Consider the following 17,227-nt stretch of genomic DNA (forward strand, 5'->3'; position numbering starts at 1 on the left):
GAATAATAAATATTGAAATGCCATACTGTTAATGACAAATATGTCAAATCATCAAAAATAAAAGAAATAGAAAATGGAATTAACGAAGGGTAAATGGAGTTTTGTGAAGTAAAAAGAGAACAGATGGTATAGTGGCAATAATCAAATAGCCCATGAACTTCTCAAACTAGTAAATAAAAGTGGAACACACCTAGACATATCTTGAAAATGCCTTGGTATTATTTTTGGTGAAGATGAGGCCAGCAGTTATCAAACATTTTGGTGTTGGTAAACTCATGGTTTAGGTTTCAAGAACTCTTTAGACTCTAATGATCCAAAAGAGCTTTTATTTGTGTGCTTTATATCTATATTTACTGTATCAGAAATTAAAATGGAGAATTTAAAACATAAGTGTATTTATTAAAATAATATATTTGGTACACATTGACATAAAAATTATATTTTAACAAAAAAATGAAATCTATATTTCCGCTGTCATGCTAGTGAGAAAAGTGATATAATTTTATAATTTTGCAAAACTCGTTAATGGCTGGCTTATCAGAAGACGATGCTGGATTTCATGTGTGCACCTGCATTTAATCTGTTATGAACCATTGTTTTGGGTGAAGCATTTAAAATAATCTGACTTCAGGCTGGGCGCAGTGGCTCACGCCTGTAATCCCAGCACTTTGGGAGGCCGAGGAGCGCGGATCACGAGGTCAGGAGGTCGAGACCACGGTGAAACCCCGTCTCTACTAAAAATACAAAAAATTAGCCGGGCGCAGTGGCGGGCGCCTGTAGTCCCAGCTACTCGGGAGGCTGAGGCAGGAGAATGATGTTAACCCGGGAGGCGGAGCTTGCAGTGAGCCGAGATTGCGCCACTGCACTCTAGCCTGGGCGACAGAGCAAGACTCTGTCTCAAAAAAATAAAAATAAAAATAAAAAATAATAAAATAATCTGACTTCATATAGATAAATAGTTTTAAAAGGAAGGTGTTTTTTAAATTTCATTCAAATAACTGTTGATTTTCTTTTTTTTTTTTTTTTTGCCACTGTTCCGAAATTAGATGAGTGATGGTTTCTTATAGGTTAGTTGCTATGTAGAGTCTAAATTTTATCAATAAACTTTTTGTACTTTTACATTGAAATCCATTGGTCTATCTTGCATTTTGAATAGATCATTTATTCATGTATGGATATGTAATACGATTCATTGATCATTTGGAAAATAGTGCTTAACTGTGGATCTTCCAAATAATTATACATTTCGTTATACAATATCAAAATGCAGATACACACGCATGCAGATACACACGCATGCACACACACACACATACACATACAACTTTCATTCATTTCTGAAGAATCTTTGGGTATTGGGATGCTGTCAGCTCTCACTGAGGACATAAGGTTTCCAAAATTTGGATTTTCCCTGAAAGTTCAGATTATATCATCCTCAGCAAGTACTGTCAGTAGTTTCCTTTTGGCCAAATATTCAAGTTTGAATAACCATCATTTGTCTTTCAGTCATTCTTTTAAGTAAAATTGTGCTTCATGAAAAAAGCAGCTAGTTCAGCTTACAGCTGAATCATACAAAGGGATTTCCTGGAGACAACAATTACATCATGTATGTACAAAGTAAATAAGTCTTATGCATAGTTCTGATGTCTCCACACTTAATATAAAGACAGACATACACACAAGCGTCAAAGGTTTATAACATTCATAATTATTACTGTTTCCTCAAGGACATTCTTAAATGAAACTGTCCCTTTTGTGTGTGTGAAACGTACAAGACAGTGAACAATAATTACTGTACAGTTTGGTGCCAGTACTGAAACTGTGGTAACATACTGAGAGTGGCTTCAGGACCCTCAGGTGTCCACAAACCACAATTTGAGAACCACCAGGAAGAAGCTATACTATTCCCTTCCCTACCCCAAAGCAAAGCAGAGAAGCAAAGTAACACATTTATTCCTCTCTCACATATCAGTATGACTGGTGTAATTTGTCATAGGAATTCTGCTTCATGAGATAAATTAGGAAGCTGGGTTTTGCTATATTGTGGTTAATATCATCCTCAGTGATGCTGTCCCCATCAGGCTGCTTGCCACTCTGCTCTGGCTTGTGGTGAAAGGAAAAAAAAAAAAAAATCACAGTTGACCATTGTTTTTGAAAGCATGTAAAATAGAGATTGTTCATCTCAACTTTTCATTCACATTCCATTGGCAGAAACTTGGTGCATTTCTTCTAGACTCATTACTAGAAGAGCTAGGAAATTAGACTCTAGCTCAGCAGGTATGTACCCAGGAAAAAAGAAAGGATGAATTTTGAGTGTGTTTGTGTTTGTGTGTGTGTCTTGGTGGAGGGGGAAAATAGACTGGCACTCCCCCATCATTTTTGAATTTCAAGGATTTTTAAAATTAGAAGCTTCCAAATTTTCTTCTATTTCAAAGAAATATATTAAAATTGGTAGTTTAAAAAGAACTATAGAATTTTATAGGCAGATAAACTATCATTTATCTGTTAGGTTGAAAGTAAAACCAGGAATATCCAGTTTTAATTTCCTCATCTAAGGAAAATCTTCATAAAATGCCCTAACCAACAATAAATGACTCAAAATAGGCACTTGAATGGGGAGATAAAATGAAAGAAGAAAAATGAAGTGACAAATGTAATGATAGTATGCTTGAAATTTTGTACTATCAGGCGTAGCAAAACTTGTTGATAGGAGTATTTACATAGTGAGGACAAGAAAATAAATGATTATAAGTAGTACATAATCATTTTAGAAACAAGATATGACAGGCAAACTAGAGCAAAGAGAAATAAAAATGTTCTTTTCAGGTTAAAAGCTCTTAAGTTAGGTAAAATATTATGTTGTGTAATGATATAAGACAATTTGCTTGAAAGACATGTTCCTCATAAAGCCTGATCTATTAGAGATGCAGGGAGAGCTTAATAAAATAGAGTTATACTCAGGGAATGTAATATATCTTTTTGAAAATTAGAAAGGCCTACAAGAATTAAATAAATGAGAACATATAGGAACAGAATACTGTAATAAACTACAGTCTGACATAAATATCTGATTTGCATTCTATGAATATTGAATACATATAATTTATTGGTATCTGAGGAATACTTACAAAACTGATCATGTACTTGGCTATAAGTAAAGCCTTAAAGATTTTTAAAGTACATATTTCAAAGGCTATAACCATTGCCATAAATTCAAAAAACTTAGAAATAAATTATAAAAATTCAAACTACTTCAAAATAAGAAACACTTTCATAATAATGTTTAGCTTCTGAATAAAAAAGGAAATACTTCTGAAGTTACAATCTTTAGGAAAGTCAATGAAAAGGAGTATACCTTAATAATGAACTAATGAACCACTTACTTGAAAATGTTTAAATACCTTTATATTCAACATTGGCAGGGCGTGGTGGCTCATGCCTGTATTCCCAGCACTTTCAGAGGCCAAGGCGGACAGATCACCTGAGGTCAGGAGTTTGAGATCAGCCTGACCAACATGGTGAATCCCCGTCTCCACTAAAAATACAAAAACTAGCTGGGCATGGTGGCAGGTGCCTGTAATCCCAGCTACTCGAGAGGCTGAGGCAGGAGAATCCCTTGAACCTGGGAGGCAGAGGTTGCAGTGAGCCGAGATTGTGCCACCACACTCCAGCCTAAGCGACAGAAGGAGACTCCGTCAAAAAGAAACAAACAAACAAAACAACAACAACAAAAAACCTTTATAGTCAAAATTGACTGAAAATAATAATTGGGGAAAGTCTTCATTATCTTGTTTTAACCAGCTTTGCTGCCCTAAAAAATAAGCGTAACATGATTGTGACTTACAATAGCCAAGATTTACTTTCTTGCTTATGTCATACGAGGGCTGCATTGGCTGTGGCTCTTCTCCAGGCAAACGGGGCTGAGGTCTAAGACTCAAATTGAGACTCAGTCACTATCTGGAGAAGCCAAGCAAAAAGCAATAGCCGCACAACTTCGTTAACAGCATTTTCTTACACATTTCTACTCAGATGTCATTGAGCAACCAAATCACATAGCCAGGTCTGACAATGTGGGCAGTGGCCATGTTACTTATCAAGAGGCACTGAAAATCACAGGACAAGGGCAGGGATGCATCTTATTACATGTATAAGAATAGAAACGGGAAAAATGATTCTGAAAAAAATAAAATAATGTGCCATTACATTAAGTTTCCACTCTTACATTAAAAAGCTCATTGTAAACCAAAATTAACTGAAGGAAAGTTCATTGAAAATAAAAGCTGAAATTAATATAAAATATATTACATTAGGAACAATAAATAGTACTATAGCCACAGGTAGAGAAATGACAGATCAAATTTATGAATCTAATTTGCTGCATGTGAAATTCTGGAAACAAAGTTAAGACCTAGTAAAACCTTACACTTGCCCAGCAGAAAATTAACAAGTTGTTAAAGAAAGAGTATAACGTGTTAATACACTCATAACATACTCATAGGTAAGTTAATGTTAACTTATAAATAATGATTTCACAGCTGAATTTTATCTAATCTTGGAAAAATAAATGTTTCTTAACTATCCACAGGGACATTCATTTTACATGGATTGAAAAACTTTATACTACATATAGCTCATATCCCTAAAACTGGGAAATCATAAATCATTTTACTTATAGATATGTATCAAAATTTGAAATAAATTGTTACCAAATGATGTCAGTAGACTGTCAGAATAATTACAATCTGAGTTTTTTGATGGAAGGTTAGAGTCATGTATAAAAATTAAAATGTTATATCATCAAATTAATGGGTAAAAAAAATTGTGATTCATTAATAGATGCTTAAAGGGAGCTTACCAAAGTCCAGGAGTCATTCTTAATAGAAATCTTAATTAAATAGAAGAAATATATCGCATATTATAAATCTAAACATTTAAATTAAGCTCTTAATGCAACAATAATGCTTCATTAAAACCTGTTCCAAACATCAGTGGCTTTCACCAACCATATTTATTTTGCTGTTGTGATGGTTAATTTTATGTATTAACATGCTAGACCATGGTTAATTTGGTCAACATGAGTTTAGGTTTGCTGTGAAGTTATTTGTTGATGTGATTAACATTTACAACCATCAGCTGACTTTGAGTAAAGCAGATTGTCCTCTATAATGTAGGTGGGCCTTATCCAATTATTGGAAGACTTTTGTCTTTTTTTTTTTTTATTATACTGTAAGTTCTAGGGTACATGTGCACAACTTGCAGGTTTGTTACATATTTATACCTGTGCCATGTTGGTGTGCTGCACCAATTAACTCATCATTTACATTAGGTATATCTCCTAATGCTATCCCTCTCCCCTCCCCCCACCCCACGACAGACTCCGGTGTGTGATGTTCCCCCATCCTGTGTCCAAGTGTTCTCATTGTTCAATTCCCACCTATGAGTGAGAACATGCAGTGTTTGGTTTTTTGTCCTTGCGATAGTTTGCTCAGAATGATGGTTTCCAGCTTCATCCATGTCCCTACAAAGGACATGAACTCATCTTTTTTTATGGCTGCATAGTATTCCATGGTATATATGTGCCACGTTTTCTTAATCCAATCTATCATTGATGGACATTTAGGTTGGTTCCAAGTCTTTGCTATTGTGAATAGTGCCACAATAAACATACGAGTGCATGTGTCTTTATAGCAGCATGATTTATAATCCTTTGGGTATATACCCAGTAATGAGATGGCTGGGCCAAATGGTATTTCTAGTTCTAGATCCTTGAGGAATCGCCACACTGTCTTCCACAATGGTTGAACTAGTTTACAGTCCCACCAACAGTGTAAAAGTGTTCCTGTTTCTCCACATCCTCTCCAGCACCTGTTGTTTCCTAACTTGCTAGTGATCACCATTCTAACTGGAGTGAGATGGTATCTCGTTGTGGTTTCGATTTGCATTTCTCTGATGGCCAGGGATGATGAGCATTTTTTCATGAGTCTGTTGGCTGCATAAATGTCTTCTTTTGAGAAGTGTCTGTTCATATACTTCGCCCACCTTTTGATGGGGTTGTTTGATTTTTTCTTGTAAATTTGTTTAAGTTCTTTGTAGATTCTGGATATTAGCCATTTGTCAGATGGGTAGATTTTAAAAATTTTCTCCCATTCTGTAGGTTGCCTGTTCACTCTGATGGTAGTTTCTTTTGCTGTGCAGAAGCTCTTTAATTAGATCCCATTTGTCAATTTTGGCTTTTGTTGCCATTGCTTTTGGTGTTTTAGACATGAAGTCCTTGCCCATGCCTATGTCCTGAATGGTAATGCCTAGGTTTTCTTCTAGTGTTTTTATGGTTTTAGGTCTAACATTTAAGTCTTTAATCCATCTTGAATTAATTTTTATATAAGGTATAAGGAAGGGATCCAGTTTCAGCTTTCTACATGTGGCTAGCCAGTTTTCCCAGCACCATTTATTAAATAGGGAATCATTTCCCCATTTCTTGTTTTTGTCAGTTTTTTCAAAGATCAGATGGTTGTAGATGTGTGGTATTATTTCTGAGGGCTCTGTTGTGTTCCAATTGTCTATATCTCTGTTTTGGTACCAGTACCATGCTGCTTTGGTTACTGTGCACTTGTAGGAGCAAAGACTGAGGTTTCCCAAAGAAGGAATATGCCTTACAGCTACAATAGAAGTCCCATCTGATTTTCCAGCCTGCTGGCCTGTGCTACACATTTCGGACTTGCCAGCCTTCACAATCTCATATGCCAATTCATACGTCAATTCCTTAAAATAAATTTATCTTTATACCTAGATACCTCTCTCTGTCTTTCTGATGTCTATGTCTCTATATGCCTATCTATCTAGTTCTAATATCTATTATATCTATTTCTAATGCTATACAATAAACTATGAGAAAAAATATATAGAGAGATATGTAGATAGATTGATACATACATACATACACAGAGATAGGTAGATGATAGAGATGATAGGTAGATAGATACATAGATACGTAAATACAGAGAGGTAGATGATAGATAGATAAATAGATAGATAGATAGAGAGATAGATGATAGAGATAGACAGAGATAGATAGAGACAGATAGATACATAGATAGACAGACAGATATCCCATTGGTTCTGTTTCTCTCAAGAATCCTGACTTGTATACCCACTCACAGATATGAGGCCTAATTGCAGTTTAGTGCGTCTTGTCTGGTGGTCAGCCTGGTGGCTCTGCTTTAGACTATGGATTGGATTCAGGTCTACAACACGTGCACTCAGCCCAGTTAAAGGGGCAGTGTATTCTTGCCCACACATGCAAGAGGGCAAGGCAGACTGCCACGCAATCCAATTGAAAGACTCTGCTTGAATTGTATCTAATCACATCTCATTGCCAAGACAAAGTCAAAGGATCAGGAAAGTACATGCCATCCCATGGAAAAGAAAGGAAATATTTGTTGAGAAAAACCCTATATAGCACAATACTAAAATTCAAATACTAATTTTTGTGTAAATCAGGGAAAACCTATAATTTGTTAGGTTATAATTTTTTATGATTTCTTTGGAAATTTTTTTTGACTGAAATAAGATGGTAAAATAAAATAGGTGGTTTTTCACATTGCATGGCATATCAAAACATCTCCTGAGCTCCACAAATATGTACACCTACTATGTACCCAGAAAAATTAAAAATTAAAAAAATTAAAAATAAGTGGTTTAAAAAACGCTCAAATATAAAAGATACAATCATTTATTGTTGATGATAAGTTAATTTGCTTTTCGGAATATCCATTTTCTGTTAAACTACTCTAAAAGATTATAATTTTTATTTGTATTTTGTAGGATGAATGAAAAATACAGTCAAATATACATACACTACAATTTTTTGTATTGAAGATGACCATGCCATATGAAATGGAAAAAGAATCACACCCTAAAATTACAAATAATTTCCAAAATATTTAGAGTTAAATTTAGTAATAAAGGTACTGGACTTGATTTAATTTTAATTTTTAATTTGTATGGGCACACAATAGGTGTATATATTTATGGGATACATGAGATATTTTGATACAGTCATACGGTGTGTAATTATCACATCAGAGTCAATGATGTATTCATCACCTCAAGCATTTATCATTTCTTGTTGTTATAAACATTCCAATTATACTTTTTTAGTTATTTTAAAATGTACAGTAAATTATTGATGACTGCCATCACCTTGTTGTGTTATCAAATACTAGATCTTATTATTTTAACTGTATTTTTGTACTGACTGACCATCCCCACTCCCCCTACCCACTATTCTGCCCAGTTTCTGCTATCATTCTATTCTGTATCTCCATGAGTTCAATATATATATATATATATATATATATATATATATATATATATATTTTTTTTTTTTTTTTTTTTTTTTTTTTTGGCTTCCAAGAATGAGTGAGAACATGCCAAGTTTGACTTTCAGTGCCAGGCCTATTTCACTTAGCATAAAGTCCTCTAGTTTTATCCATGTAAGGTACTGAACTTTTAAAAAGGTATTGAATCTGATGGAAAGTCTTCACTGAAGACCTGAGCAAGTGAAAATCCATACCATATTTTTTGAAGGAAATGTTTAATGTATGTAAAATAGTAAATAATTGGTGTGTTAGGCCATTCTTGCATTGCTATAAATAAATACCTGAGACTGGGTAATTTATAAGAAAAGAGGTTTAATTGGCTCATGGTTCTGCAGGCTGTACAGGAAGCATGGTGCCAGCATCTGCTCCACTTCTAAGGAGGTCATGGTAGAAGGCAATGCAAAAGCGGGAACACTGCATGATAAAAGCAAGAGCGAGAGAGAGAGAGTAGGGAAGAGGTGCCGCACACTTTTAAATGATCAGATATTGCAAGAACTCACTCACTATTGCAAAGAAAGCACCAAACCATGAGGAATTTGCCCCCATGATCCAGTCACCTCTCACCAGGCCCCACCTCTAGCATTGGGAATCACAATTCAACATGAGACTTGGGCAGGGACAAATATCCAAACTATATAAATCGGTAAACACATTAACATCAGTAAATCCATTTGCTCCTATTCTACTTAGCATATCACATTGTAAATTAATTAATAATTTAACATTTCATATGGATGACATATTGAAAGATTGTCAAAATAATACACAACAAAATATGATGAAAAATATTTGCCTTAGCAAATAGTAAATATAGAACAATGAGTTCTATGATACTAACATTAACCAAAAGATCATTGGTACAGAATAGACAGTAGAGATTAATGTGAACTATTGCTGGTGGTGTCAATCATATTATATTTATTAACTTTTTATTGCCCCTCTCTATTGCTTTGCAGCTTTAGAGACAGGGTGGAAAGTGGGATATGAGTAGTGTGGACTAATTCCTATTGGATCTATTGTCAAGGAACAAGAAAAATAAGCACAAAAAAGAATTGGCCAGTTTGCAAGCATGAAAAAGAACAGAATTTACAAACGCAATGTATTTTTAAATGATAAAAGCCACATAGGGATATGTGCCTACAATATGATTATTATTAGAATTTTTATAAATCAGAAAATGTCAAAGTCCATGTATTCATAAAATTATTTGTATCTGATATGTATTAATAATGAGAAAAGATGTGCGACATGGAAGGATCTGGGTTGTTGTATTGGTTACTTTGATAGAGGAAGATAGGGAAGAGTTAAGTAACACCGGAAACAACAACGTCCATAAAGTTCGAAATAAATGAGATCATGGCATCACCTCCCGAACCCGCTATCTGCAGGAGTGAAGGCAGGCTAAAGGTGAGGTCCACCTAAAGGCAGAGAGGAACATGCACTCTGAAGTGTGGAGTGTGTTCCAGTCTTCCTGTGCAGAGGTCAGGTCAAACAAAACTTCCAGGGGAAATCTGGTCTCATCACTACACCCTTACCAAACACACGATGACAATGATGTAAAATTTCTCTGCTCAGATTGCCCTTATCTAAGACTTTCTCCTCAGCCCTCTCAGCTGCTGCATCAAACAAATGTCATTCCATTCAAATCAGTTCCATTCATTTTCACAATGTGCACTGAGGGCTCACAAAACCCCAGTCCATGTGCTGGGCACGGGGATAGAATGTTGCACAAAACACAGTTCTTGTCCTCCCAGCATAATTCCTAGTATAGAATGTGAGCAATCAAACAATTCCAATAGCCCATCAGGAAGGTTCCAGGGGTGCAAACACAATGTTACAAAAGCATTTATTAGGGGCAGACGTCTCATTTGAGTGAGTCAGTTAGGTTTTTCTGGAAAGATTGGGTCCAATTTGAAATCTAAATGATAAATAGATGTCCTCTGTAGTTAATGCACTTGACTCCACAAACATGGTTCATACACAAATACCACACTTGACCTGTTTTTCTTTTATTCTAGAAAGAGAAACATATTGATTTCAGATCATAAAACATAATACAGATAACAAAGTAGATTAAAGTGAAGCCAGGATTTTTACTGCAGAGAAAGATCATTTAAAGGATGACAAATAGAACTTTCAAAGCCTTTCCTTTTTTCCTTACTATCAAAATCAAGTAAATGTGTATTGCAAAAACAAGAAAAAAAATTGGAAGTATGAATTCATTTACTGAGTGAAAGATATACACACGGGAAGAATTTGTAATATAAAATAGAAATTTAAAAGTACCATTAATGATGAAAATTATAATAGTTACCATTAAAATACTTTTAGATCTATTAATTATTTAACCATCCCCCAAAACCTATGAGATATATTATATACGTTAATAAAAGCTAAATGTAATAGTAGATTTAAATCTGGGTCAAGAGTAGTAAGAATACAAGTTAATATTGAAGAAATGTAAGTTAGTGGCAGGCATTGAGTTCAAACTCAAAGGTTTCCTACTCTGTGCAGAACTATAGAAAAAAAGAGAAAAATAATAAAATAAGTTCAGTCATCTGTCCCTTAGAGATACATTTTGAGAAATGTGTTGTTAGGCAATTTTGTTGTTGTGCAAACATCAGAATGTACTTGCACAAGCCTGACACCAGGGTTTTGGCTCTCCCTCCACGGCTCCAAAACTCGTGTGTTCCATCCCAGCAGCTATAACACCATCTTTTCTACAGTCATCCCTATTCACACTGAGATCCTAACCTAGATCTAACCTACTACACACTTAGGGTCCTAGGCTACAAATATGGACAACGTGTTACTGTACTGAACACTGTAGGCAGTTGTAACAAAATGGTTAGTATTTGTTTATCTAAACATAGAAAGAGTACAGTACAAATAAGACATAAGAGATTTTTTAAAATGCACCTGAACAGGGCATTTTGTACAAATGGAGCTTGCAAGAAGTTGTCTCGGTGAATCAGCAACTGAGTGATGAGTGAAAGTGAAGGTCTAGATTACACTACCATAGACTTTATAAACACTGTACTTGGGCGATACTAAATTTTTTTTAAATATTTTTTTCTTCCATAATAAGTTAGCCCTAGCTTATTGTAACTTTTAAATTTGAAAGTTTTTATTTTTAAACACTTTTTCTCTCTTTTTTGCAGTGACACAGCTTAAAACACCAACACATTGAAGAGATGCATAGTATTTTTTGTACTCTTATTCTATACGCTTCTTTCTATTTGATTTCCTTTTACTTATTAAACTTTTCTGTTAAAAACTAAGACATGAATATGCACATTAGCCTAGACCAGGATGATCAATATCACCATCTTTCACCAGCACATCTTGTCCCACTAGAGGTCTTCAGGGGCAATAACACAGATGGACCAAACTGTCATTACATGGTGCATCATGGTAACTCTAAGTGTACAAAGTGGATCAAGAGATTCCGCAAGAAAGGGGCAGACAAATTGGGACTGGAACAAAACTCAAATTTTATAACAGAAAACTTAGATGCCTGAATTTGGAGAGGAAAATATTTGTTAATGTAGGAGAAAATATCCTAAAGCGATGTAATAAATACTGTGATTTTGAAAATTCAAGGAAAAAAAGAGAATCCTACAAGCATGTAAGTAAAAACAGCACACACACACACACACACACACACACACACACACGTACATTTACATATTAGCAACATGGGAATAGTAATGATAATGCCTCAACCTCTCAGGTCAGAGCAGCATGCGAAGCCTGGGACCAGTTTGTTTCATACTGAATTTAATTAAGTCTACTATCAACAGGATTACAAGCAGCAGCACTCGCCTCAGTTATACATACCTCTTCTCCTGCCCACACATTCCCACTCAACTATTATAAGTCCCAGGGGTAACAGTAGGTCCTACTCCAGATAATCAAGATATAGATTGAGGCCAGTCTACTCATTGTGACCCAAGGAGGGAGTTTAGAGTAATCTCCGGATCTTGATATATTTGCCAACAATATCAATAATTACAAGGGACAAAAGACGAGCCAACAAGCAGCTCCCATCCCCAGTGAACACTGCCCTTGCCCCCCTCGCTCTATATACAAACATATAACCCAAAAAGGCATGGCTCACTCCAGTTTGAGACTTGCTGTTAAACTTGATTTGAACCCCTGTTGCATTGGTTTGGTCAAGTCACATGGGCAGTGTCACCAATTAGCCTTGAATGCCATACCTGGCACAATTCAAGGCCAAGTGAGCCTTAGAAGAAGCAGATGTCTTTGCATCAGTGAGACGGATGCAAACAAAGTTGGGTCAGTCCAAGTGTTTGAAAACATATGAGGGAGTCCACACCCAGGAGCTGCCTCTGAGAAGGCATCAGGTACAGCAGGGTACTGATGGCCTGTCCAAAAGTACTTTTGTGTTTTTCTAGCACATGGACGGCAATGACAAGTCTGATAGGGGGTGAGGTTGCCAGCTGCAGCTGCTGCCTGGCTAAGGAGGACCACAGGATTGTTTTGTCATGGCATGGTGCTGAAATGGTGCTGCATCCATCTGGCAAGGAGAACACGAATTGCATCCTCTTTTTTGCATATTTTGGGGACTAACATGTTTCTTCTCCTGACACCAGGGTTCTGGCTCTCCCTCCATAGCTCCAAAAATGGTGTATTCCATTCCAGCAGCTATAACATCATCTTTTCTCTCCAAAAATGGTGTATTCCATTCCAGCAGCTATAACATCATCTTTTCTACAGTCATCCCTATTCACATTGAGATCTTAAGAATCAGATATAATGGGATAAGACATTTTAAAAAAATTTCCAGACACCCATGTAATCCCCTACCTTGACTTACAAGGGACAGTATAGGGGGCTACAGAGATTAGTGAGTCACTCAGGTAGTCATTGTTTATTTGATCTATGTCAAGTCATCCTAACATTCCAGAATTTAGTTTCAATCCTCCAAGACCCCTTTTATCTGAGCTGTCACCTGGAGGGTGCACCTACCAAGTTTGCCTGAGGTTGAGGTTAGGGGAAAGCAAAAAGTATTATGCCCAGGAATGGTAGGAAAAAATACTGAATCTTCAAAATGTTCTAGATAATCCTTTACTGGAATTATTACCCAGAAAGCAACCAAGAGAAGTTCTCCTCTTTGTAAGGACAGTCACATTCAGTGACCACCTGCTTTATTATAAAGTGTGTGGCCCAGGAGAGTGTGAGAAAGGGAAAACAGAAATATTTTGAGTCAATTTCTGAGGGATTTCTTTCATTGCTCAACAAGATCAAATGCCCATGGACAGTAGGGCATGTGACATGTCCACCAAATACCTTGATTATTGTTCCATTGTTGAGTAGACTTTTGACAAATTGTGCACCATTTTCAGATGGTTTATGATCTGGAAAGCAGAAAACATGAAAGAGTTTAGTTAAGGGCTACAGTATTGCTGCAAGAGTTGAAGGATAGGATTAGAACAGAAAACCATTAGCTGGAAAGTATGGACAATGACCAGACCCAAAAAGCTGTCAAAGAGCTGATGTAGTCAGATCTGATGTCCTCAGCAGCCATGGGTGAAAACAATGCCCATGCGATATGGCCTCTCTTACCGTAAGACAAACAGGCTAACATTTTGCAGGAGCCACAAGTCGGCCACACAGTGGTGGCTTTTGCATCAGAAACATAAAAGACCTTTCCTTTGTGCCCCGTCTGTGAGGGGGAGGTGCTGGTGCATCCATTTTGATGGTGGATGTGGGAAGCAATTATAGCAAAATGGACAGCACAAGCTCGATCACATTGGCTCCAGCTGGTGTCATTAGAGAAGAGTTTCATCTGCCCCCACTGTGAGCACCTGTGTGAGAGACCCAGGCTGCTCAGTCCTCACCATGGCGAACTGTAAACTGGTAGTCTGTGGGCTTCCAAGTGGTAGACGGGATGGCTGTGTCATTGAACACGGCTCCATGTGTTAGTAATCTAACCTTCCAGCTCCTCAGGAGCCTTGCCTGAGGCAAGGACTTCTAACTCATCCCGCTGTGCTCACTGGCTTTAGGCACAGGCAGCCTTCCAGAGCTATTGCTGGGGCTGGATTGCTGCTACCACCCGCATGACACCAGCAGCTCTTGGCATAACAAGAGCGGATCTTCTTGGTGGGGACCGAGGCATATTGAAAGTACTTTTGTGTGTGTCATGGCTGGGGGTGTCATTGTTATGAGGTTTACATTGTTGCGTTTCCCATCCATTATGTATAAGAGACAATAAATTCTCCCAATTCAGGGAATGCCACATCTAGGCATGTAAAGAGATGATCTCCGTCCCCTCCAGGCTGGTCGAGCAGAATCAGTTCCCAGGCCCAGTCATTTAAAAGCAACTGTAGATGGAGGGCCCCATGGAGCCAAAGGTTTTGCTTCAGAAAGTGGAGTGAGGGGCCAAGTTTCCCCAAAGATGTCAACTGACACTTTTTTATGTAAAACTGAGATGACGCTAGGGCCACAATATAGTGTGCTCTTGAATACAGCATTTCCATTTTCCAGAGAGGATCACGGGGCCCTTTCTTTGTTAGTTGTTGAATAGGAATTGACTCGTGACTAAATGGGCTCTGTGAGTCAGGAATTCATTGTTAGGAAAGCCGCTGACCAGCGGCCCTTTTTGGTTTGTTTTTAACATTGTGCACTTGGGGGCAGAGTCCGGCAGGTGGCGCTACTCAGCTGGGAAATGGTTTCTCTGAGTTTGGGCAGCAGTTAGTTTTTTTAACTAGAGCTGAGTTCTTTCTTCTACCTGGATTCTGCGTTGTTTCTGCTGGACCGATCCGGAGGGGACAGAGATTGCTTCTCTACATGCTTAGATGTGGCATTCCTTGAATTGAAAGAATTTATTGTCTCTTACACATAATGGATGGGAAATACAACAATGTAAAAGTGTAACAATGTAACAATGACACCCCCAGCAATGACATACACTAAAGTACTAATGTTCCCCGGTCCCCATCAAGAAGACCATTTTGACTTCTCTTCACTAGTAAAAATTGTATTAATTGAATTTGGTAACATTTGCCCCCAAAATGTGAACACTGACCAAGTTGTTTAACATATGCATGAATTGACTCTGCAGCAACATGTTATCCCATGGCCAGGATGCTGAGCAGTGCAGGAAGAAGGATGTCAAAGGCCTGAGAGAAATAATGGGAAGGAAACATTTTTTTCCCCTCTTTGGCCTTTTATCTCTGCTTTCACAGACTACTGCAGCGTTGTTCTGCAGTCCTCAATGCTTTTGCTAGTCTGTTCCTAACATTCTCTTTTCTCCTGAGACCTGGTAGGAAGGTGAATACATAACCTGAATCCAAGAGACACATAAAAGTTGGAATCCCTGCCTTTTCAAAGTTCCCATACATATAACCAGAGGGTGCCTATGGCTCTCAGTGTTCTTTAGGGACAGGGAGATCTTGGCTACTGATTGTTGAAAGGAAAACTTAAGATAAATTCAATTTAATGGAATTTAATTGAGCAAAGTACGATTCACAAATCCAGTAGCCAGAATAGGCTCAGCATGACTCTGGGGCTGTCAAGTGGTCAGATAATATTTATGGACAGAAAAAGAAAAGTGACATACAGAAAAGGGAAGAGAGGTGCAGAAAACAGCTGGATTTGGTTACAGCTCTGAATTTGCCTTATCTGAACACAGTTTATACAGTTAGCCAGTCTGTGATTGCCTGAAACTGATTGGTACAAGAGTAGATTACAGTCTGCTTACACATCCTATTAGGTTACAGTTTTCTATGTAGAAAGAAACCTTTAGTCTGAACTTAAAGTATGTAAGGAGGCAGCTTCAGGCTAATCTTAACATGCCTAATCTCCTTTCTTTTTAAAGCAGCTGAGATCCATGCAGAGGAAAGGGAGCGATCAGAGGGTACCGAGGGAGAGAGTGACTTCATGCTACAGCAAGCTGGCTTTGTGTTTACTCTCTTTAAGAATAGCTGCCCACTTAATTTCCACCAGAGGAGCTTCTAATGTTTGCTCAATCAAAGGTCTATGTTGAATAGCAAATAGCATGTTTCTCATTTTTGATACTCTTTATTCAGTTTTGGGGACTTCTTGGCTTCGAAGCCGCATCTGTCTTGCCTTTCCGCAGGGGCTGCTGGGCTTCCTGCCCCTTGTCATAGTAGCATCCCTTTCTTGTCCTCCCCCCAAGGAGAGTGAGTCACAAGGTGTGCTTGTTGAAATTCTACCTCTAACTATTCACGTTCATTAACAGGAAAGTGCATGGAAGTGCACTGACGTGTTGTGAAATGCTACGAAGAAAAATAAAGCAGAAATTCCTAGGTGTTGATGGATGGAATTGCATTTTAAATAGGTGGTAGAATGAACATCGTGGAAAAGATGATATTTAAACTTGAAAGATGTTAGAAAGCAAGCCACATAAATATCCTGGGAAAGAACCTTCCAGGAAGAGGGAACAGCAAGTGGAGACTCTCTGAGGGAAAAGCACGCCATGTTTGCCAGGACCGCAGATGGTTATTGTGGATTAAATTAGCCAAAGGGTAGGATTTGAGATCGGAGAAGTAGTGGTGGTCCAGATTCGGGAGGATCCTGTGGCCCACACTAAGTGCTTTACTTCAATCTAAGTGAAAAGGAGAGATAATGGAAGTTTCTGAAATGGCAATTTGACTTATGTTTTAAAAAAACAAATTGGGCGACTGCATTGAGAGTAGTATATGAACAAGTAAGGGAAGGGATAGAGAGTTCATTTGAAGAGCACTGCAGCAATCCTGTTGAGAAAAGACAATGGCTTACAGTAAAGTAGTGATAAGGGAAGACCTAAGAAATCACTGGATTTCATATCTGTTTTGAAAATGAAGGTGGCAATATTTGTTGCT

The 17,227-nt window shown here is 37.4% G+C and overlaps 1 annotated feature.

Moving 5' to 3' along the window:
* Positions 14,550-15,188: an enhancer, noted in NCBI's record as "OCT4-NANOG-H3K27ac hESC enhancer chr5:18393999-18394637 (GRCh37/hg19 assembly coordinates)". NCBI's record gives its function as "activates a minimal SCP1, AML or CMV promoter by ChIP-STARR-seq in naive H9 embryonic stem cells {active_cell/tissue: H9 hESC(naive)}" and the evidence as "EXISTENCE:reporter gene assay evidence [ECO:0000049][PMID:30033119]".

Source organism: Homo sapiens, chromosome 5, assembly GCF_000001405.40.
Source record: "Homo sapiens chromosome 5, GRCh38.p14 Primary Assembly".
In the NCBI taxonomy this organism is placed as follows: Eukaryota; Metazoa; Chordata; class Mammalia; order Primates; family Hominidae; genus Homo; species Homo sapiens.